Source organism: Homo sapiens, chromosome 11, assembly GCF_000001405.40.
Source record: "Homo sapiens chromosome 11, GRCh38.p14 Primary Assembly".
NCBI classification, from domain to species: Eukaryota; Metazoa; Chordata; class Mammalia; order Primates; family Hominidae; genus Homo; species Homo sapiens.
Genome location: NC_000011.10, coordinates 67,266,468 through 67,286,568, shown reverse-complemented (window position 1 = coordinate 67,286,568; position 20,101 = coordinate 67,266,468). Strand labels below are relative to the sequence as shown.

Here is a 20,101-nt window from a genome sequence, read left to right as displayed (position 1 = left end):
GAGACAGCCGAATCAGGCACCATTTTTTATAAAAACGCATAGTCTCATTTTTCACTCTTTAAAATCACATTCAAAAATCGGCAAAGAAACGCCCCGGGGAATGAGTAGACGGGAGGGGAGGGTGCGCCAACCCAGCCCCGGGGGGGAGAAGGCGCGACACCACACAGGCAGCGCGACTGGCACGAGGGGGCATGCGGTGGGCGAGGCGGCGGCACTGACAGGACGTGGGCTGTGGGGCTGGCCAGCCTGGGCGGGGGTACACTGATGGGCCAGGATGGGGGGCACACTGATAGGCCCCAGCCAGCCTCCTTGCTGTGCTGCCCGCCCACCTGGCCGGCCCCGTCCTGGGCAGATGGGGTCGCACCCAGCCCAGCATCAGCGAGACCTCAGGCCAGGCGAGGCCAGTATGGCCCAACCTGCAGGTGCCTTGCTGTGGTCCCTGAGCCCGGGTGCTGGGGGTTGGGGCAAGAGGGGACAGCAGGGAGGGTAGCAGCACCTGCTGCCAATGCCACTCTCTCAGCCAAGCCCCGCAGTGTCAGGGAAGTGGGAGTGGAGGCAGCCAGTGACACAGAGGCTTTTCCTGAATAAGGGCACAGGAGCCCGAGTCACTGTGGGAGGCCTTGAGGGCCAGGGAGACAACGGGCCCCTCCTCTCGCCAACACTGTGGAGCAGGACAGTGCAGGGCCTGCCCCTCTGCAGCAGGAGGGGGTGCAGTGGGAAAATTCAAGTCGGATCCCTGTGCTGTGCCTGCCCCTGGTGAGGGGGGATGGGCCACCCAGCAGTGCCCATGGGCACAGAGTGCAGCCCACAGAGCCCAGGGTGGCACAGCTTGGTGTGGCATCATCCCTCGGGGAAGGGGCGGGAGGGCTGTGCTCTTCCCCCACAGGAAGACACTGGGAGCGGGCAGCCCCTGAAGTCAGGACAGAGGGCGCCGGGCAGCGGCTGGGTTGGTGCAGCAGGAGCCGAGGCAAGCGGGCCCCTCCCGGGGGAGCTGGGCCAGGCTGGGGCCACGGGAAATCACAATAATTACAAAATAAAACCTTTTCCGCTTGGCGGGAAAACAAATAATAAAAATTCGACAAAATAAATTAGAGGTTTATAAAAGGCGGGTGGGCGGGTCAGAGGCCGTTGGCACTGCCGCGCTGGACCAGCGGCACCTTGCTCAGCTCCACCACGGGCGAGCGCGGCTTGTTCTTCATCTTGGGCACCCGCTGCACCAGCTGCTGGGCCTCGCGGTAGGCGTCGCGCAGCTCCTTCTTCCACTGCACCAGCTCAGGGTCGCTCTGCACATGCCAAGCCCAGCTCTGTCAGCTGGGGCTCTCCCCAGCCTGCCTGGCCTGGCCCCTCGGCCCTCCCATCCCTGGCTCAGCCCCCACTCACATCGCACTGCAAAATGAACTGTTTCCCACCGCGGATCTTGAGGAGCAGGCACTTGCGCTCCTTGATCTGCGTCTCCTCCACCGACTGGATCTCCTCCATGGTCAGCAGGCTCTGCTGCAGGGCCAGGGATGGGTGGTGCAGGTAAGAGCCGGGCCGGCCAGCCACCCGGAAGCCCGGCTCCCGGACCCCCGCACGGGCTCCTTACCGGGGCCTCGCCCTCGCCCCGCCACTCGAGGCGGTTGGGGAACAGGTAGAAGTACCGCCGCTGCCACTGGGTCAGGAAGGGGTTGCCCATCTTGGACATGTAGCCATGCATGATGCAGTCCTTGCCCAGGGCGTAGTCTGAGGCGAGAGACAGAGGAGACTCAGCCGGCCCCACCTGGGTTTCTTTTTTGTTTTGAGACAGGGTCTCCACTCTGTTGCCCAGGCTGGAGGGCTGTGGCACAATCTTGGCTCACTGCAACCTCCACCTCCCAGGTTCAAACGATCCTCCCGCCTCAGCCTCCCGGGTAGCTGGGAGTACAGGCGCGTGCCACCATGCCCGGCTAATTTTTTTGGTATTTTTTGGTAGAGACAGGGTTTCACCATGTTGGCCAGGCTGGTCTCAAACTCCTGACCTCAAGTGATCTGCGCTCCTTGGCCTCCCAAAGTGCTGGGATTACAGGCGTGAGCCACCATGCCCGGCCCCAGCCTGAGTTTGAATCCCAGAGCCGCCACTTTCTGGCTGTGATCCAGGGTGAGTTCCTTAAACCCGAGCCAGCTGCTCACTTCTAAGCAGGCAGGGGCCTGGTGCCGCAGCAGCCGGCGACCCTCACCTTCCTCATGGCCCAGCTGCTTGTTCTTGGCTTTCTTGCGAGCCTCCAGCCGGTCTGTCTCAGCGTTGATGGTGTCGAAGACAGTCTCTGCCACCTCCTGCTGCCACCGCTCCGAGATGGTGAGGGGGAAGTTGCGGTAGAGCTCCTGATCACTGTCCAGTAACTTTACCAGGTGGATGGGGCAGGGGCACATGGGTGGACAGAGATGCCGGAATACCATCAGCCACAGGCTGCCCAGACCCAGGGCCCTGGGTAGGGATGGTCAGTGCAACTGCCACCCCCCAGGGAAGTTGGCCAAGGAGGAACTGAGGCCTACAAGCTGGCAGGGCTGGCACAGGGTCTCACAGGTGATAAGAAGGGAGAGGGATCCTTCCCCAGGCCAGGATCACAGCCTAGGTACAAGAGGCCAGGCAAGGCCCAGTACCTTGATTCCTTTTGTGTCCTCCTCATCGAAGGAGCCAATGTCGAAGGCGTCGGCCGCGTTCACCTCCCCTCGTGGGGGGATCAGCGGGGGAGGGTACTGCAGCAGAACAGGGGTCATGGGCATTAGCTCGGGGGTGGGGCTGCAGAGCACCCCCAGTCCCTGCCGCAGACTGTTACCTTCTGCAAGAAGACCATCTGCCAGTCCAGGGAGCGGAAAAAGGGGCTCTCTTTCACCTCCTGAGCCCTGTGGGGAGAGGCCAGTCATCTGGGCTCAGCCCCACCCTGAGTCCCGGGCTTAACTCCTGATTGAGCCACTTTCTGGCTCTGTGAACTTGGGCAAGTTCCTTAAGCCTGAGCTGTTTCCTCATCTCTCAAATGGGAGAACAGAAGTTCCTACATCGTAGGGTTGTGGGTTTTAACACTGGTAAATTTTGCAACCCTATGCCCAGTGCTTAATAAATGTTTGATAAACATAAAAAGCTGCTATCATCATCATCTGTGACAAGGGCCCCTCTGGAAGCCAGTTACTAGCTGGTTCCAGCAGCTCCAACTCCCAGGGCAGCCCCTCCACTCTGAGAACATTGGACAGGGCTGGCCATGCCCCAACTTATGAGCTCCTCCAAGGAGGCTGGGACCTTGGAGGGGGTTCCAGGTGACGGGACACAGCCCTTGTCCTCATGGGGGCACAGCCAGCAGCATGCCCAAGGCGCCAGGGTACTCACCCTCGGCCCAGGCAGCCCAATCTCCGGTTGACATCCCTCTGCAGCAACCCCTCCAGCAGGGAGCGTAGTTCAGGGGAGAAGGAGTCGGGCAGCTCCACGGCCTTTAGAGAGGAGTGGGACATTAGCAGGGGCTTAGGAAGAGCCCTTGACCCCATCCCAGCTCAGGGGAGAGAGGGGTCCAGGCCCCCGCAGAGGGACAGATGGGGCACAGCATCCTAGCTCGCCCAGCAGTCATGCTCCAACAGCACGGGGAGGGCGAGAGCCTATGGGGCAGGAGGTCTGTCTCAGAGGCCAGAGTAGGGGTCAGTGGCCCAGATCTCTGCTGGCTGGTGGGAAGCAAGAGTCATGGCCTGGCACCCACAGGAGCTCCCCCCAGCCCCCTGCGGCCCTGCACTGAGACCTGCACCCACCATCGTCAGCGTCATGCGGTCGATCTCATGCTTGTCTTTGGTCTTGTGCTGCCGGAAGGGGCTGTGCCTGGGCAAGAAAGGCCAAAAACCAATGTCAAAGGACAGGAATGGGGAAAGGGAGGCAGGCAGCATGGATGAGCTGTGGCCAAAGTCAGGGACGGTGCCAACCCTACCACCAAGGCAGCTATGGGCTCCCCTCCTTTGGCATCCCACCTGGATTGGGGAGGAACTTCTCTTAGCCCCAACCCACCTGCCCACCTGGGATGGGCCACTCACCCCCGCAGCAACTTGAAGAGCATGCACCCCAGAGAGAACCAGTCGGCACTGCTGTCGTAGGCCACGCCCTTCTGCAGGACCTCCGGAGCCATGTACCCGTGGGTGCCCCTGTGGGAGCAAGGGGGCCATAAGCGGGAGTGGCAAGGGGTGGGGAGGGAGAGGGTGGGGGGCACTCACACGCTGGCATGGGGCTTCTTCTTGGAGAAGTCACAGGCCAGGCCCAGGTCCGAGATCCGCACGTGGCCATGCTCGTCCAGAAGGATGTTGGCTGGCTGTGAAGGAAGCCCAGTGAGCTGCCTGGGGCAGCTCAGGATGGGGCCCAGCCAGGCAAGATGCCAGCTGGGTCACTGCTTCACTGGAGAGGACGATGGGTACCCAAAGAAAGGGCAAAGGTGGGGGTCCTCTCTCCTGTCCCCAGCTACAACCTGGACCCAGAGAGTGGCTCGGTGGGAAGGGCAGGGGCGGAGATGGGAAGATACGGGGCGGCCATGTCCCAGGAGCCCCACTCCTCTGGGCCTGGTGGCCGGGATGTCGAGAGGAAGGAGAGGACAGCCACGGAGGTCCAGCCTGGGGACAGCAGGGGCGCTCACCTTCAGGTCCCGGTAGACCACGAAGCGGTTGTGCATGTGCTCCAGGCCCAGGATGATCTCGGCCGCATAGAAGCGCATGTCAGCCTCTGAGAAGACCCCGTGCTGGGAGAGGTGGTAGTGCAGGTCCCCACCTGAGGGAGGCAGTCCCACAGGCAGCACTCAGTGTCTTGCCCCAGCCTCCCGTGCCTGGGCCCGGCCCACCCTAGGGCCCGGCCAGCACTCACCGTTCATGAGGTCCAGGATGAAGCTGAGCTTGTCTGGCGTGTGGAACGCGTATGACATGCAGACAATGAATGGGCAGTCCTAGGAGGGGAGAGGAGGGGAGGGGGCGGGCAGTTAGCAGGGGCGCCCGGGGTTCCAGAGCCTCAGCGGCAGCCCGGCCCACCCAGCTCACCCCAGTGCTGACGAGCGAGAGCATGATGCGCTCGTTCAGGGCCAGGGTCTCCCCCTGCTTCATCTTGATGCGCTTTTTGTCCAGGCACTTCATGGCGTACCTACGGGGCAGAGGTCGGCAGTCAACACCCACCCTCAGAGCAGGGGCCCAGGGCTGCCTCAGGGGGCGCTTGAGGGAAAGACTAGACCCAGGACCAGCGTGTGACACAAATCAGAGACAGGGAGGGCTGGGGCCAGAGGAGCCTGCGGGGGTAACAGCACGGCAAGACAGGAGTGCATGGAGCAGCAGGTGGCCCTGTGTGGAACCCGGCCTGTCAGGGTCCCCCAGGAGCCCGGCTCCCCGAGGTATCCCACCGCGCCGAGCAGGGTGCTCACATCTTGCCTGTGTCAGCCTTCCGGCACCCATAGACCTCGCCAAAGCCCCCGCGCCCAATGATGCGATGCACGCTGAAGTCATTCATGGTCAGCTGAGGGGCAGCGACAGCTGCGGTCACCACAGGCTGCCTCTGCCCAGCCCTGGGGCAGAGGCACCTGGGCAGCAGGGGCTGGCCCCATGCCAGGGTCCCCATACCCATGTCCTGGCCATCCTTGCCACATATTTACCTGCTCCGGCCTCCCCATGCTGGGATCCCGGCCCTGACCCCCATAGCCACGGCCCTGGGGGCTAAAGGACAGACATCCCCTGACCTCCCCCTCCCAGCCAAGCCACAGGCCCAGCTCCCGGGAGAGGAGCAGCAGGGTGCGTGGCTTTCCATGCCCCACCCAAGCCCACTCACGTGGATGTTGAGCTCCACATTCTTCCACTGGCAAAACCGTGTGAACTTATCGCTGGAAAAGAAGAATCAGGGCTCAGGGGCCACTCAGAATGTGGGAAGGATGATGCTGTCGTGAGCCTCCCCACCCAGCCGCCACTCCCTGGGGTCCCGTGAGGGTAGGTGTGGAAACATCACGAGCGTTAATGTCCTCTTCCAGGAAGGATATGTTGAGGGCCTGCCCGCCCACAGCACCAGTCAGGGCTGCTTGGGTGCCCAGCATGGCCCTCGGCCACCTGGCCGTGGCTTCCTGCTGGAATCAGATCCGCACAGAAAGGAGGTCTTCCAGTCTAACCCAGACTTCCTGCTACCATATCCTTGACAAGTACGTCTCCTGTCCCTGCTTGCATACCCCCAGTGACACAGAGCTCACTCCATGGCTGGGCAGCAGTGACCCTAAAACAGCTGCTCCCTAAAGCTGGCTGAAATCTACCTACAATTCCCACCCACCGCGCCAACTCTGGCTGTGAGGGTCACGGGGGCCATGCGCTCTACTGGGCCTACCCCTACCAGGACTCTGATGCTTCTCAGTCCAGGTGGGCCAGCAAGGTGCTATACAGCCCACGGGAGAGAAAGAGGCACAGGTGGCACAGCTCTCCTAGCTCCCTGGAGCTAGGAGACTGCCTGGGATGGGCTTTGAGCTGCCTGGTGCTGAGGAGGGCAGGGTGGGAGATGACCTGCAGCCTGTCTGACTTCTCAGGAGTCCTTGCAAGGGGGCCGCTGACGGGCCAGCCACCTGCCTGCTCAGGGCCTAATGAAGGCTGGCTTCTGCCCTCCACGCCAGCCATACCCCTTCTGAGAGCGGCCCCTCCCTCCCCCTTCCTCTCCCACACTTCCCTGCTCTCACCTCTCAATGAATTTCTGGAACACGTCCCCTCGGAGGTTTTGACAAATCTCTTCGATGTATGGCTAAGGGAGGAAGCTGGAAGTTGGTGACTGAGCCCCGAGAGACCGTGGTTGCCCAGGCCCCACCCCTGGCTGACCAGGCTTGTTGACCAGGGGCTGTCCAAGGTGACCTTGCCTGGGGAGGGACCGGGAGGCACACACCTGGAAGAGATCCGGAGGCACCTGCTTCTTCCCCAGGTGGCCTTGGACATGCTCAGTGGCACTCTTCGAGAAGGGCTGGGGAAGACAGAGGTGGCCATGAATTCTCAGCAGGGTCCTCTCTTCCCCTCCCAATCTGCAGGTGACTCTGGGCCAGCACACAGGGCCAGCTGAGGACACTCACATGCGAGCAGGCCAGCAGCTCCTTCATGATGTATGAGTCGAAGATCTCCCGGCTGCGGGCCACACGCTCCTCCTCCGTCTCCAGCTTCTCGTACTTCTTGATCTGGAGGACAGGATTCCTGCAGGTCATCTAGAGCCCAGCAGGGAATGGGGATGCCCACACCAGGCAGCTTGTGGGTTCCACAAAGCCGCCCCAACCTCCTCCCCTTTCTCCAGGCAGAGCAGGGCTTGGGCCTCTGGGTCTCACCTCCTCATAGAATTCCACCAAGGGCCTGGCCTCCTCCAGGTGGTTCAGGCAGAAGTCTCGGAAGAGCAGGTACCCTGAAGGCAACAGTGTAAGGTCACAGAGCCACGCCTCTCTCAGAGGCCTTCCCATCATTGTGGATGGTGTGGGTTGGGCTCCCTGGGCAGAACTGGCTATGGAGGTGGCAAAGGTGGTCTCGGCCCCAGGCAAGGGGTGGGCCAGGCAGCTGCTAAGGCTGCTGCCAACGTGAAGATTCCTGGATTCTGGGTTGGGGCCCCTGTGTTTCTACCCTCTTCCTGAAATCTGTTTCCCCAGGTGGTAGCTGGACGGCGATGGGCACCAGGGTGAGGCAGAGGAGCGGGGTTGGCTCTGGCATCAGGGAGCCCTGGCTTAGCACCTGGGCCCCCACTCACTGCAGCCCAGGGCCCTGCGCCTGCTCTGTGAGGCCGATACCCCCCACCGGGGCGGGCTGTGCAGGTGCAACACGATTCAGTCTGGGGGCCCTGGGATGCTGTGGCCACCGGGGCCAGGTCAGGCTGCAGCATGGGGAAAAGGTTAGCAGGGGGCTCTGAGGCCACACCACTCCTCTGGACCCTGCCCCACTCCAGTGTCTGGCTGATTTGCACAGCAGCCTGAGAAACAGGCAGGGAGGGTGGGTCCAGTTGGGGAAACTAGGGCTCAGGGAGCTGGTCAGACACACTGTCTGTGGCAGAGGCTCAAGTGGAACTCAGGGCTACTCCACCAAATGGCAGGTCCCTGGGAAAGAGGTTGGGGCTGGGGCCTCAGGGCAGGGGGCATGGAACGGGTGTAAGCCACAGGGAACTGGAGAGGCAAGGTGGGCTGTGGGAGGGGCTCTCAGGGGACCCCAGATAGGGTGTCCTCATGCCTGAGTAAGGGGCCTGGACCCTGGACCCCGGCCCCCGAGCACTACCAGGGGACAGAGGCCCTCCTCAGGCCTCCAGTCTGACACGGGTAACCAGGCTCGAGCTGGGTGGCCTCTCATGCCTTCGGGGGCACTGCCTGGGCACCTGGGTCAGAGCTGCGGCCATCATTTCAGTCCTCACTGCCTGGCCTTTAGTGCAGGGCCTTTGAGGAATGGGGGCCAGGCTTCACAGTGGGCACAGTGCTCCCATCTGACTCTGACAGGCCTGCACAGTCGGACTCATGAGTCCCATCTCCCAGATGAGGACACCATCAGGCTCAGAGAGGTGAAGCAACTTGCCCAAGGACAAAAGGCACAGGCCTGGGACCCAAACTTTGTGCTTCTTGACACACCGACTCCCCCAGGCTGACCCCCAATGCCTGATCCCATCAGGCCAGGATACCCCCTGTCCAGAGCTGAGCTCCTGTTCTCGGGAAGGCCAAATCAGAGCCATGTGGGGCTGGAGCCTGCTTCCCGAGACCTGCCCCAAGCCTGCCCTCCGGGCCAGGTCCGCAGGGTGGGTCACATGAAACTTCTGACAGCAGGCATCAGACACCAGCTGGAGGAGGAATGGAGGGCCAACACCAGGCAGGTTGCTTACAAAGAGGGCCCATGGGGTGGGGCGGGGCCAACCACAGCTCGGCAGGCGCCACAGGAAGGGCCCCGCCTCTTCCTGTCAGTTCTACCAACGGCCCAGAGCAGCTGCGGCCGCGCCAAGGGGAAGCTGCAACTCTCAAAAACAAAAACCCCAAAGGAGGAACTTCCCTGGCGGCCCTGGAAGACTCTGGGCCCCCACCCCCACCACGGGGCTCCCTGGGCCGACAGCCAGGGGCAAGGAGGCACGCAGGGTCGCAGCGACTTGGAGCAAGCCCTGGGGTCTCGCTGGCTGCTCCACCCTGAGTGGATGGGAGGCCAAATCTCTGGAGAGTGGGGAGCACAGCTGGGCTGGCTGGGGTAGGGGCAAGAAGTTAAGTCCGGTGGCTGGCAGAGCCACTGCCATACTCACCCAGCTTCTGGGAAAAGATCTTCTCAAAGGTCACCTCGCCCCGGTCCTCCAGGTACTTCTGCATGACACTGCGGATGCTGTGGGTCAGGGGGGCGCAGTAAGCAGAAGCCCCCAGAGCCCGTGGGGGCTGCAGGCCCAGAAACGCGAGCTGAGGGCACTGTGGTGGTGTCGCCACTCCCTCCAGGAAGGAGGCCAGCCCGTCAGGCCTACTCACTTATCCCAGCCACAGGTCAGACCAGAAGGCTTCAAGGAAGCCTTTGCCTGCACCGCCCCCGCCAGGCTGTGTCCTCAAAGGCCAGGGTGGCCGGCAGGTGGCCCCCTGCTCAGAGGCCCACCGCCTGTGGGGTCTCGTCCCAGTGATGCCACCGGCTGGCTTTGGGAACTTGGCCAAGTCACAAAAGCCAAGCCTGGTTTGTGAGCGGATGAAAAGACACACATGTGGCATCTCCACGCAGCAGCACATGGCTCGGCTGTAAAAAGGAACAAGGCACCAACAGGGGCCACAACGTGGATGAGCCTTGAAAACATGAGGCTGAACGAAGCCAGTCACAAAGGGTTGCCACATATTGTGAGATTCCACTCATATGAACAGATCCACGGACACAGAACGCAGATCCGTGGCTGCCGGGGGCTGGAGAGAGGGAGAGGAGTGACTGCGGTGGGGACGGGGTTTCTTTTTGGGGTAAGGGTTGCACAACACGGTCAATGTACTAAAAAACACTACATTGTATAATAAAATGATGAATTTTATATGAATTGCATCTCAATTTTTTAAATTGTAAGAAAAGGCCATGCCTTGGTTCGTGTGTCCCTAGTACTTGGATATAAAATGTGACCCCTGCCCTGGGTTGCTTGGTATGGCCATAGGGGAGGGCCTGGCCATTGTGACCCTCAAAACCCAACCCGACATCCCCCACCCTGTTTATCTCACCCCACACTGAGTGCTGTCTGGGAGCGCCACACCAGGCTACACTCCCGGCCTCAAATACCACCTTACTGTCCCCTCCTGCCCTCTCCTGGCCCACCTCAAGCCCAGCCCTGCCGGTCTGTCCCAACAGCCAGCTGAGGCCTGCATCTGGTCCTCACTAGTCTGGGCTCCTGGGGTAACGTGTAGCTGCCATGCTGAGGGCATTGCAAGGCTGGGGGCCTGAAGGGACAACACACCTGAGCCCATGTCACGCTCACATGGCCCTGCAGGTCTATGGGGCCACCAGCAGGCCTCCCGTGAAATGACTGCAGCTGGTGGAGATTTGGATCCGCAAGTCCAGGTTCTCTGTGCTTGCCATGGCCCCTGCCTTTCTGCACCCCGGCCCTGCCTGCCCCTAGGAGCCCAGCCCAGGGCTGGTCGGACTGGCCACCCAGGCTGTGGTCACGAGGACCCGCTGCACATCTACCCCTGAGGCACTGTGTACCTCATGCCAAAGCCACCCCCTGCTCCAAACAGCCCTGCCCAGGGCATGGTTCTGAGCCTGTGATACCAGACAGCGTGTGCAGAAGCCTTGGGAAGGAGAGGAGGCCTCTGGGTCTGGAAAGCCTGTGTGGAGAAGGTGGAACTCCACTGGGTTCCTGGAGTGCAAGTGGGATCTCGGCAGCTGGCGAAGCCAGGGGGGTCGGTAGACGTGGGAACAGGCAGGGGACAGTATGTCCAGGGATGAGCAAGGGGCCAATGGGGCAGGAGAGAGGGCACACAAAGGCCATGGTGAGGCGGAGGGCAGGGCCTTGCAAACCAGGGGGCTTCACAGCCAAGGAGTGGGCAGGAGAGCAGGACTCAGGAGGCTTGGTCCAGGGCGGTGGGTGGCCCGACTCCACTGGAGGCGCCACGCGGAGGAAGCCCAGGCAGAGGCAACACTTGGGCAGGAAGAAGGGGAAGGGGGTGGGTGGGAGAAGGCTCAGGCTGTCGGGGACCGGGAGAAGGGTTATGAGGCCAGCCCCGTGAGGGCTTCCAGGCTTTGGGCCCGAGGGTCTGGAAGAATGGCAGCTTCAGCCAGAAGAGCCGTCTGCGGAGAGCAGCTCCAGACAGTGCGGACCTGGCCTGTGGACCCTGCCTGGCCTCTGACCTCGGCCTCGAGAGGGGGCTCTTATCCGCTTCCACTGGGCACTGTCCTTCCAGGAAGGGCTGCAGTGGACTCCCGGGCCTCGGCCCCTGATCTCACTTGGTTCCAGCCTTCCTCAGGAAAGGCCGAGCGAGATAGCACGAGCACAGCAGGGCTGCCATGAGCACGGTTCCAAGGCCGCGACCCCCTGGCCTGCTCCCCACCCTCAGAGGCTGGGAGGGGCCGCGGCCTCTTCCAAAGTTGTCTCCAGCAGGAAGCAGGGCACTGAAGACAAGGATGGGCCTAGGTGACCCTGAGTTCGCATCCTATGACTGCTTTGGAACAGACCCTGCCTGGATGGGAAGAGGGGGGCCCATGCCCCCCACCGGGGAGTGAGGATGCCCTCTGAGAACTGACAGGAGCTCCGAGGATGGGCCCCGCGTCCACACCAGCACACCCGCCCCTTCGGGCCACACGCCAGCTCATGTCCACCAGCCACCGTCAAGGACATGTTTCCCGGCATGTGGGACTCCCAGGGACACAGGAAACGGTGGACGGAGATTGTGGTGTTTCACACACAGCAAGGGCTTCATAAAAATCTCTTGAATTGAGAAAGACACGGTCCCTGCCCTTGGCACCTGCAGACAGGAGGCCTGGGCCCTGGGCGACCCTCAGGGCACAGGCTGTGCACTGGGAGACTGGAACGTGGAGAAAACCCCAAGGTCAGGGGCCTGCATCTCACCTGGGAGGTGGGCCAGGACATTTTGGTCCACAGAAGGGGATGAAAAAAAGCAAAAAAAAAAAAAAAAAAAAAAAAAAAGGTGCTGGTCAAGCGGAAGGTAGCGACAGGCAGATGCAGATGACAGGCAAAGCAATCCCAGCCTGTAGGGGTCACCCACCAGGAGCCGGGCATTGTCCCAGGAATGGGGGCCACCGGGCTTCAGCAGTAAGCCCCACTGAGCCCCAGACTTGCTTCTTAGGAGCCTGCAAAAATGGTGCCAGCTTGGCGGGACGCGGTGGCTCACGCCTGTAATCCCAGCACTTTGGGAGGCCGAGGCGGGCGAATCATGAGGTCAGGAGTTTAAGACCAGCCTGACCAACATGGTGAAACCCCGTCTCTACTGAAAATACAAAAATTAGCCCAGCATGGTGGCGTGCGCCTGTAGTCCCAGCTACTCAGGAGACTGAGGCAGAAGAATCGCTTGAACCCTGGAGACAGAGGTTGCAGTGAGCCAAAATCGTGCCACTGCACTCCAGCCTGGGTGACAGAGTGAGACTCTGTCTCAAAAAAAAAAAAAAAAAAAAAGGTGCCAGTTTGGCAGAGGGAATGGCCACCTAGGAGCCAGGGAGTAGCCACTGCCACTTTTCAACTGGACACACAAAGTCTCCAAGGGGGAAGCATGCTTGGTTCCCTGCCTGCGACAGCCAGGGGAACCTGCCGGGCAGGCCCTTTCTCCTTCCCAGGGGCTCTGCTGTCAGCCCCGGCCTGGGAACAGCAGGAAGCAGGACCCGGGGCTCTGAGGCCATCTCTCCCCTCAGCAGCCACGCCTGGGCATGGCCACCACATTCTTCCCAGCCCACAGCACTCCACTTTCTTCCTTAAAAAGAAAAAAATGTTTTTTAAATAAAATAAACAACCCCCCTCCCCCCAAGCAAGAAACCAAACACGAGGTCAGGCCTGAGCAGAGTCCTTGAATGGAAGGCCCCCAAAGTGGCAATTTTAGGGTTTCCTGTCTATTCCCATGGGTCTGGCCGCCAAGGGAACTGGCAGGTTGGAAGAACTTGCCACTGGGGGCAGCTCCTGCCAGGGTGGCAAGCACGGGCGAGCACAGGGGTGGGACAGCCTCCTGGACTGGGTCACCTTGTCTCCAACACTGCTCCCTGATACTGGCAGAGTCTGGAGTGGCAGTGAGCCCAGAGCGTGTCCCTGTCCCCCACCCAGGTCAGCAACCCTGAGATCCGGGGGAACGTGGCTCCCAAGATCTACTCTGGAGCATCAGGAGAACCAAGCGGCCTCAACAGTCCCAGATGGAAGGACGCTAAGGTTCCCAACACCTTTGGGCAAGGGCCTCAGAGTTGCCTTTGCTCTGGCCGTTGGACGGGTGCCTGGGTTCCAAGTGGCCCTCACCACCTGGTCACAAACTTGAAATGTCCAGTTTCCCCAGCTGTAAAATGAGGATGTCAATGAGATGCTGAATCGCCACCGTCACACTGGCCATTTACAAAGCCTGGGTGGACACGGCAGAAGGAGGGCTTCTAATATGCCAGGCTGGCCATGCTGCCCGCCGTGCCCCGCCTGCTGGGCCATGGGAGAGAGCCGCCAGAGCCCCATTTCTCAGTGCCCCACGGCTCACCGACAGTCCATGCTAGAATCACACAGTAACTGGTCTTGCTCAAGCCTCTGCTCCACATTTGCCGTGTCCTCGGAGAGGATGGGGCCTTGGAGGATGGGGCCTGTGGCCAGGGCTGAGCCGAGCAGGGTGGGACTCCTCTGCTCACAGACCAGCTTCAGGCACTGCATTGCTCTACTGCGGGCCCAGTGGGTAGAGCCCGTGGCTTGCCCTGCCAAAGTATCAAGGGCTCCTTGGCACAGAGGTACTTGGTGCCCACCCAGCTTTGGGAAGGAGCAGTCAGTCCCACCTTGGCACCCCTGCAGTTACAGCGGCCTGCACCAGCTCCTACTGCTCCCGGAGCAGGCTCAGCCCAAGACAGTGAGCAGCTGCAGCACTGAGCACTGGGTGACAGGGAAGGAGTGGGTGCTGAGGGAGCACTTCCGGTCCCTTCTGGCACCTCATGGTTCAGAAGAAATGCAAAGTCCAGGCCATCCTCTGTGGCCTGGGCTCTCTTAGGTGTCTCCTGCTCGGGGTCAGAGGCTGTAGCTGTGTGGACAGGAGGGGGTGACAAGTCAGAGACAAACACACTCTTGCTGATGGCAAGGAAGCTGGCTGGGCCACGTGCTCCGAGGCCCACAATGAGTTCGTGGCAAAGAAAATGTCCAAAGGCTCCCTGAGAAACGGCCTCCACTAGAGCACCCTCCATCCCCCCCTTGACCTCTGTGGAAGAGCTGGGTGCAGGGCTCAGAGGACCCTGACTTGTGCCCAGCCTCTGGCCTGGCTGCCCTCCCGTCCCTGACCAGGAGCTGTAGGAGACGAGCAGCCCCCTTCCCTGGAACCCAGGATGGGAGGCAGCCTTGGCTGGCAGCTGGCAGCCAGGGGCCATGCTTCCTGTGCCCCTCATGTGACAGTGATGCTAAAGCTTTGCCACGCCAGGACGGTGCAAGCTGGCATGAAGGCTACAGGCCTGGCAGGTCTGGTGCGGCCACTCTGGGAACCGTCCCCTGGGAGATGAGCGAGCATTCACCAACCAGTGCAGCAGGGCCTGTGGCTGTGGCCGAGGTGCTCCCTGTGGCATTTCCAGGAAACCAGACACCAAGGTGCCAGCAGCAGAAGGAAGTCCCCTGGGGCTTCTTAATGTTTCTCAATGACTCTCCCTGGGGCGAACAAGGACGGGGCCACAGATCAAATAGGAAAGGCCAGCCCAAACCGGCAGGTCCAAGGTAAGCCCTGAGCAGGGGAGAGAAAAAGCCAGCTGGCCCCGCACACACAGCCAGGGTCTGCAGCAGCCTGGGCTCCGGAACGTCGTGTCGGCCACAAAGCAGCTCCCTTGCGGGGATGCTCAGGAAGAGGCACTCTGGCGGCCTTGTCAAATGTCACGGCTTCTTCACAAATATGACATGAGCACCCACACCCTGCAATTTACTGCTGACATGGAGACCGTAATCTGCATTACGCTAGAATGCACCAAGAACAAACTTCCAGAATTCCATGCCCTGTGGTTTCCAGGAGGGGGTTATCCCCCATCCCAAACACGAAATGGCTCTAGAGTCAGAAAATTGCCCCCACCTGGGAACAGAGCTGCCAACATGTTAATACCAGAAAACCCACTTCTGCCAGCATAGACGCGTCCTTTTGCAGTAAACAGCAAAGCAGAGAAGGGATATTACTGTTTTAGAAAAAAGCTGCAGTCAAACACCTCATTTTTAGTATCTCAGTTGCAGCAGAGTAGAAATAACGTGAATATAGCTCCATCCAGCAGTGGAAACTGACCCATGGGGAGCCGGCGGGGAGTAGGGAAGGGGCCCAGGAAGAAGGGGCAGGTGTGAGGGAGGCTGTGCATCCTCAAGGGCTACACTGTGCTTTTGGTTCCCACTGTGTGTTCCGAGGCAAGAGCATACCCTGAAAGCAACAGCCAAGCGCGTGGAGCCCAAACCCACCAGCCTGAGCACTCAGTCCCTCTGCCAAGCCCACCTGGGTGCAACCTAGGCACGGGGAGGAAACACTGGCTGCGGAGCGCTCCTGTACCTGACGTCACCGGGAACTTACTACTAGGAATTGATTGTGCATTAATAGGACACCTCATTCTGGGTTAACAGCCCAGGTTCCCCTGCACAGATTCCAACCTGCATTGCTCACACTCCCTTCAAATCCATTTACCCAGGTAACGGCAGGCGGGCGACTTAATGGCAAATAAGTGAAACGCATGCTCTGGAAAGGAAAACAGACGGGAAAGACATCCCAGAGACCCATTCCTGGGGAACGGCGGTGCTTCAAAGGCCCAGAGGGAGTGACTGCAGGAAAGATCATCTTGTTTGCAGGGAAAGGAGTTGGGAGAACGCTGCCACTGAAGTGGAAAGTTCTGGGTAAGGGACAAAGGCTGGAAGCAGCAGGGTTTCAGCTGGTGCTGCAGGAGTGAAGGAAGGAGGGAGGGAGAGAGCTTCCCGCTGCACCCCTTCCCCCACAAATCGAGGGCAGGAAGTTCTGGCTGCGAAGAGTTAACAGGAACGAGGCAGCGGAGGAACAGGGGCAGGGTCTGGGGAGACAGGGAAGCCAGAAAGGGGCAGGAAGGAGGAAACTCTCGGTGGGGGAGGGACCAGGAAACAGCCAAGAAATCGGGAGGCTGCAAGAGGCACCCAGCTCCGACAATCTGCTGCTGGGGCTGCCACTGTCACCGGGGAGGGCAGAGGAACCTCCTGGGAGCGCCCAGGCAGGGCTCCTCAGCTAGGAGCCCAGAGATTAATTACACGAGGCCTCAGTGGTCATATTAAGCAAATGATGATAATTACAAGACTGCTGGCTGCTGGGAAAGGGAGACAGCAGTTCCTTCAGGGCAAGGCCCAGACCACAGACCCTGAGAGTGAAGGGGCAGCCGCCTCGTTTTACAGAGGTGGAAACTGAGGCAGGTCCAGTCGGGCTAAGGGACTCGCCTGGGTCCCATGTGAGCTGGTGGTAGAGGGAGAAGCCAGACCTCCCATCTTCCAGATACACAATGCTGCCTTACGCTACCTCCTTCTACAAGAAGGTCGGGGAAAGGGACTGTTTCCTTGGATTCTATAGGGTGACAGAAGGGGAGGCCCCTGTGCCAACTCAGTGTGGCACTGTGCCTAACCACTCCCATTCCCTAGCCTTTGGAACTCAGAGCTGTGATGCCAGCCCCAGTTCTTGGCCAAGACACATCCCCAGGCACCAGCCATGGAGGGGCTGCCAAGGTGGGCCACCTCAAGGTATGAACAATTCCCAGTGGCAACCTGTCACTGGGACAAGCCACAGCCCCTCTCCCTGACTCTGACCTTGACCTTGTGGGTATGGGGAAGACAGGCTCCTGCATCTGACGGGACCCTGGAGTGGGGCTGCCCCTCGGTGCAGTAGCTTTGCCACGGCAGCTCAGTTCTCCATCCCAGCCAACGGGAAGAGGGCTGAGCCTTGTGAACTGTGACAGCCGATGGCCCCAGACAAGGGGTGCCAGTCAGCCCACACCGCAAAATGTGGACAGAGGCGAGAACAGTGGTGTGCAGGGGTGGGTGGAGGGGATAAAGCACAGCAAAGAAACAGCACTGGCCTGTGTGGTCCAGAAACCCGAGGCCCCATTCCAGCTTTCTTCTGTGACGAGGACACGACTCCTCCCCTCCCTGAGCCTCAATAACTTCAACTGCTAAAGGGGAGAATCCTAACTGCTGGGCCTGCCTCTCACAGTTGTCAAAAGGACAAAACAGAGTAAAAAGCACTCTGCAAGTGGAAAAGTGTCAGGCAAACATGAAACATGGTCAGGATCACCACTGGGGCGGCGGGGGGCGGGGGGCGGCGTGCTCTGCCCCACTGGGTGTGCAAGGCAAGGCGTTATGCAAAGGGTGGCCTGCTCCCTAATGCCCCAGGCCTGGACCCCCATGTAGGGGTGGCCAGTAGCCCTTCCCAGGCCTTAGCGCACTGACATTCGGCGCTCGCACCTCCAGTCCGTTTCACAGATGTGGGCGATTTGCGGAAGGCCATGCTGCTGATGGTGACCCAATGTGAAAACCTGGGCTGCCTGGCTCGGCCTCCTGCTGTCCTCCTAGAATCCTATCCAACCTTGTTTCTGCTCAGGACTGCATGGGGGTGCCACACAGTCCTGGTATTTCTTGAGCAACTACTACATGCAAGGCATGGCCTTGCCAGCTTCACAGGTTGGTTGCTGGAAGAACTGAGATGACAGATATCAAAATAGGTAAGTCAGTAATAATTCCTATCATTATTGCTATCACCGCCATCACTACCATGGATGGGAAAGGGGACAGGAAAAGAAGACCATCTCGTTTCTCAGGGTTCTGACACCTGCAGAGCCAAGGCGGCGCCCCATCAGAAGCAATGCATTCTGGGGGGAGATTACCCGAACGCAGACAGTTCCAGAAAAGGCCCCGCCTCACAGTTGCAGAACTCCATCCTGCAGGAGGGTCTCGAGGCTGCAGCCACCAAGGAGAGCCGTTTTGAGCCCTAGAGGCTGACTCCCCCGTTTCCTCCCTCGTGGGTTTGTCATTTCTGAACTCATTTCTGTACTAACCGTCACTGCTCCCTGGACAGCCCCCAGCTGACAGTCAGTCTGGTTCCTGTTTTGAGAAATCTGATTGCAAATGTCTTAGAAAAAAAAAGGCCCTAACGGCCTTTTCAAAATGCAGACCAATTTTCCTCTCCCAGGCCTGACGTTCAGTCAATCCAAACACCCAGTGAGCAGGGCATGGCACAGGGGGGCGGTGAGGGCCATGGGCATGGGGCACCCCTGCAGCGTCAGCCAGAGCTTAGACGGCTGCTTCAAAGGCTGAGGGACACCGCAGAGTCACAGCTCTTATTTCACGCCATCCACATTTCACAGATGAGAAGACCGAGGCCCAGTGAGGGAAGAGACTTACCCAGAGTCACAAGATAAGACCACGGCAGTGTGGACAGGCCCCATCCCCAGCCCGCTGGGGCACCAGGAGGAGGCCAACTCTCAGGCATGCACAAGGAGTTGCCACACGACACAAAGAATCGTGGCGGGCACGTCTGCTCCCTGGCACAGGCCAGGGTAGCTGATGAAATGTAGAACCAGAAGTCTGAAGCCCTGATCTGTTGGCCAGGTGCCACCTGGGACTACCTGTGTGACTCGGGGCAGGCCACTCACCTCTGGAGCTTCAGTTTCCCCATCTGTTCCACAGGGACAAAACCACACCTGTCCTCGCCACCCCATGCGCTGCTGAGAGGCTCACACAGTGGAGAGATACTCTATCAGCCATAAAATGCTGGACAAACCGCAGCAATCGTCCACATCCTGTGTACTTTTGCACCTACATCCTGAACAGTCTAAACTTTGATACCAGGTGTGATGTCAGTTGTCTTACAGAGGCGGCAGCTAAGGTCCAGCCATTGCAGGTGTGCTGGGAGGGCCCCTGGTCAACAGCACCCACGGGGCACCATATGCAGGGCCTGCCAGAGGAGAAATGTAGGGGAGAGGGCACAGGGGATGTTTCCCCGACCTGAGCGCGGTCCGAGGGGGAGGGTGCCCGCAGCACCCTAGGTCCTGCTCACCACGCCGCCCTGAAAGCACTCTCGAGCCCAACTCCAGGACAGCGACCCCACCAGAGGGTGGGAGAAGAGTCCGGAAGACTGGCTGTCCCCCAACACCTCACACAAGTGTAGACTGGAGGAGAGACGGGTGGGGGTAGTGGAAACCCTAAAGCGAGTGCCGTGAGCAGGGACAGCAAAAGGGTGGGTGACATCGTCAGGCGAGGTAAATGGTGGCCAGCGGAGGGGAGGGGACCCCACAGGGACCAAGGGCTGCTCCGAGAAGGATGAAGGGGCGCGCCGGGCCCCCGTGGGAGAAGGCGGGAGCCAGGGGCTGACAGCGACTTCGGGGGGCCGGTGGAGCACGATAAGGAAGCAGCAGGGCGGCCAGGGGGACCCGACTGGGTCCGGGGACCGATGGGGCAGAGGAGCTCCGGAGTTGGGGCGCTCCGGGCTCAGGCGCCCAGGGTCTGGGGCTTAGGGTCTGGACCCGCAGGCGCCAAGGCCGGGCTGCTCCGGGCTGGGGGGCCGACAGGGGGTTGCGAGAGCCGGCCCCGGGGGTCCAGGTCGCGGGGTCGAGCATGGGGCCAGGGTCTCGGGGCCGCGGCCGGGGCGCCCGCGGGGTCGGGCCGGGGCCGCGGGCAGCTTCTCCTCACCTGGGCTCGGGCAGCAGGATCTTCTTGCTGGCGCGCGCGGCCGGCGTGGCCTTGCTCTTCTCCATGGCCATCAGGTAGCTCACGTCGGCCAGCACCGCCTCCAGGTCCGCCATCTTGGCGGCGGCGCTGCCTCCTCCCGCCGCCGCCGCCGCCGCCGCCGCTCCTGCTCGCTCGGCGCTCGGCCCGGCCCGGCCGCGGCTCGCTCGGCCTCGGGCGCCGACGCCTCCCGCCTGGCCCTGCTCGGCGCCCGCGGCTCCGCTCGCCGCCGCTCACAGGCGGCGCCGCCCCATGGCGCCGGCTCGGGCCCGGCCCCGGCTCGCGCTCCGCTCCCGCCGGGACTGCAGT

The 20,101-nt window shown here is 60.9% G+C and overlaps 1 protein-coding gene across 3 annotated transcripts, besides 12 other annotated features; it reads right to left on the bottom strand.

The window, feature by feature from the left end:
• On the bottom strand, positions 13 to 20,096 carry GRK2 (G protein-coupled receptor kinase 2). Of its 3 annotated transcripts, none has more exons than NM_001619.5 (21): positions 19,757 to 20,096; positions 9,221 to 9,297; positions 7,296 to 7,369; positions 7,050 to 7,151; positions 6,869 to 6,943; positions 6,669 to 6,730; positions 5,786 to 5,837; positions 5,385 to 5,476; positions 5,011 to 5,110; positions 4,841 to 4,919; positions 4,617 to 4,747; positions 4,204 to 4,298; positions 4,027 to 4,134; positions 3,751 to 3,817; positions 3,341 to 3,441; positions 2,796 to 2,862; positions 2,620 to 2,715; positions 2,196 to 2,358; positions 1,586 to 1,722; positions 1,381 to 1,494; positions 13 to 1,283 (listed from the first exon to the last, which is right to left on the bottom strand). In NM_001619.5, the coding sequence occupies exons 1-21, from the start codon at positions 19,867 to 19,869 to the stop codon at positions 1,119 to 1,121; spliced, it is 2,070 nt and encodes a 689-aa protein (NP_001610.2). In that variant the 5' UTR covers positions 19,870 to 20,096; the 3' UTR covers positions 13 to 1,118. The 3 variants fall into 3 exon arrangements, 2 of the variants coding, with proteins under 2 accessions (NP_001610.2, XP_011543075.1); XM_011544773.2 differs by lacking the exon at positions 19,757 to 20,096 and adding an exon at positions 18,721 to 19,373; XR_007062455.1 differs by lacking the exons at positions 13 to 1,283; positions 1,381 to 1,494; positions 1,586 to 1,722; positions 2,796 to 2,862 and having other exon boundaries at positions 2,222 to 2,358.
• Positions 8,372 to 8,985: an enhancer, noted in NCBI's record as "H3K27ac-H3K4me1 hESC enhancer chr11:67045055-67045668 (GRCh37/hg19 assembly coordinates)". NCBI's record gives its function as "activates a minimal SCP1, AML or CMV promoter by ChIP-STARR-seq in naive and primed H9 embryonic stem cells {active_cell/tissue: H9 hESC(naive and primed)}" and the evidence as "EXISTENCE:reporter gene assay evidence [ECO:0000049][PMID:30033119]".
• Positions 8,575 to 8,784: an enhancer, noted in NCBI's record as "active region_5082". NCBI's record gives its function as "activates an Ori minimal core promoter by ATAC-STARR-seq in GM12878 lymphoblastoid cells {active_cell/tissue: GM12878}" and the evidence as "EXISTENCE:reporter gene assay evidence [ECO:0000049][PMID:35858748]".
• Positions 8,986 to 9,599: an enhancer, noted in NCBI's record as "H3K27ac-H3K4me1 hESC enhancer chr11:67044441-67045054 (GRCh37/hg19 assembly coordinates)". NCBI's record gives its function as "activates a minimal SCP1, AML or CMV promoter by ChIP-STARR-seq in primed H9 embryonic stem cells {active_cell/tissue: H9 hESC(primed)}" and the evidence as "EXISTENCE:reporter gene assay evidence [ECO:0000049][PMID:30033119]".
• Positions 9,505 to 9,554: an enhancer, noted in NCBI's record as "active region_5081". NCBI's record gives its function as "activates an Ori minimal core promoter by ATAC-STARR-seq in GM12878 lymphoblastoid cells {active_cell/tissue: GM12878}" and the evidence as "EXISTENCE:reporter gene assay evidence [ECO:0000049][PMID:35858748]".
• Positions 13,589 to 14,553: an enhancer, noted in NCBI's record as "H3K27ac-H3K4me1 hESC enhancer chr11:67039487-67040451 (GRCh37/hg19 assembly coordinates)". NCBI's record gives its function as "activates a minimal SCP1, AML or CMV promoter by ChIP-STARR-seq in naive H9 embryonic stem cells {active_cell/tissue: H9 hESC(naive)}" and the evidence as "EXISTENCE:reporter gene assay evidence [ECO:0000049][PMID:30033119]".
• Positions 14,554 to 15,518: an enhancer, noted in NCBI's record as "H3K27ac-H3K4me1 hESC enhancer chr11:67038522-67039486 (GRCh37/hg19 assembly coordinates)". NCBI's record gives its function as "activates a minimal SCP1, AML or CMV promoter by ChIP-STARR-seq in naive H9 embryonic stem cells {active_cell/tissue: H9 hESC(naive)}" and the evidence as "EXISTENCE:reporter gene assay evidence [ECO:0000049][PMID:30033119]".
• Positions 14,891 to 15,030: an enhancer, noted in NCBI's record as "active region_5080". NCBI's record gives its function as "activates an Ori minimal core promoter by ATAC-STARR-seq in GM12878 lymphoblastoid cells {active_cell/tissue: GM12878}" and the evidence as "EXISTENCE:reporter gene assay evidence [ECO:0000049][PMID:35858748]".
• Positions 15,992 to 16,111: an enhancer, noted in NCBI's record as "active region_5079". NCBI's record gives its function as "activates an Ori minimal core promoter by ATAC-STARR-seq in GM12878 lymphoblastoid cells {active_cell/tissue: GM12878}" and the evidence as "EXISTENCE:reporter gene assay evidence [ECO:0000049][PMID:35858748]".
• Positions 16,122 to 16,171: an enhancer, noted in NCBI's record as "active region_5078". NCBI's record gives its function as "activates an Ori minimal core promoter by ATAC-STARR-seq in GM12878 lymphoblastoid cells {active_cell/tissue: GM12878}" and the evidence as "EXISTENCE:reporter gene assay evidence [ECO:0000049][PMID:35858748]".
• Positions 17,768 to 17,827: an enhancer, noted in NCBI's record as "active region_5077". NCBI's record gives its function as "activates an Ori minimal core promoter by ATAC-STARR-seq in GM12878 lymphoblastoid cells {active_cell/tissue: GM12878}" and the evidence as "EXISTENCE:reporter gene assay evidence [ECO:0000049][PMID:35858748]".
• Positions 18,138 to 18,187: a silencer, noted in NCBI's record as "silent region_3620". NCBI's record gives its function as "represses an Ori minimal core promoter by ATAC-STARR-seq in GM12878 lymphoblastoid cells {active_cell/tissue: GM12878}" and the evidence as "EXISTENCE:reporter gene assay evidence [ECO:0000049][PMID:35858748]".
• Positions 18,528 to 18,577: an enhancer, noted in NCBI's record as "active region_5076". NCBI's record gives its function as "activates an Ori minimal core promoter by ATAC-STARR-seq in GM12878 lymphoblastoid cells {active_cell/tissue: GM12878}" and the evidence as "EXISTENCE:reporter gene assay evidence [ECO:0000049][PMID:35858748]".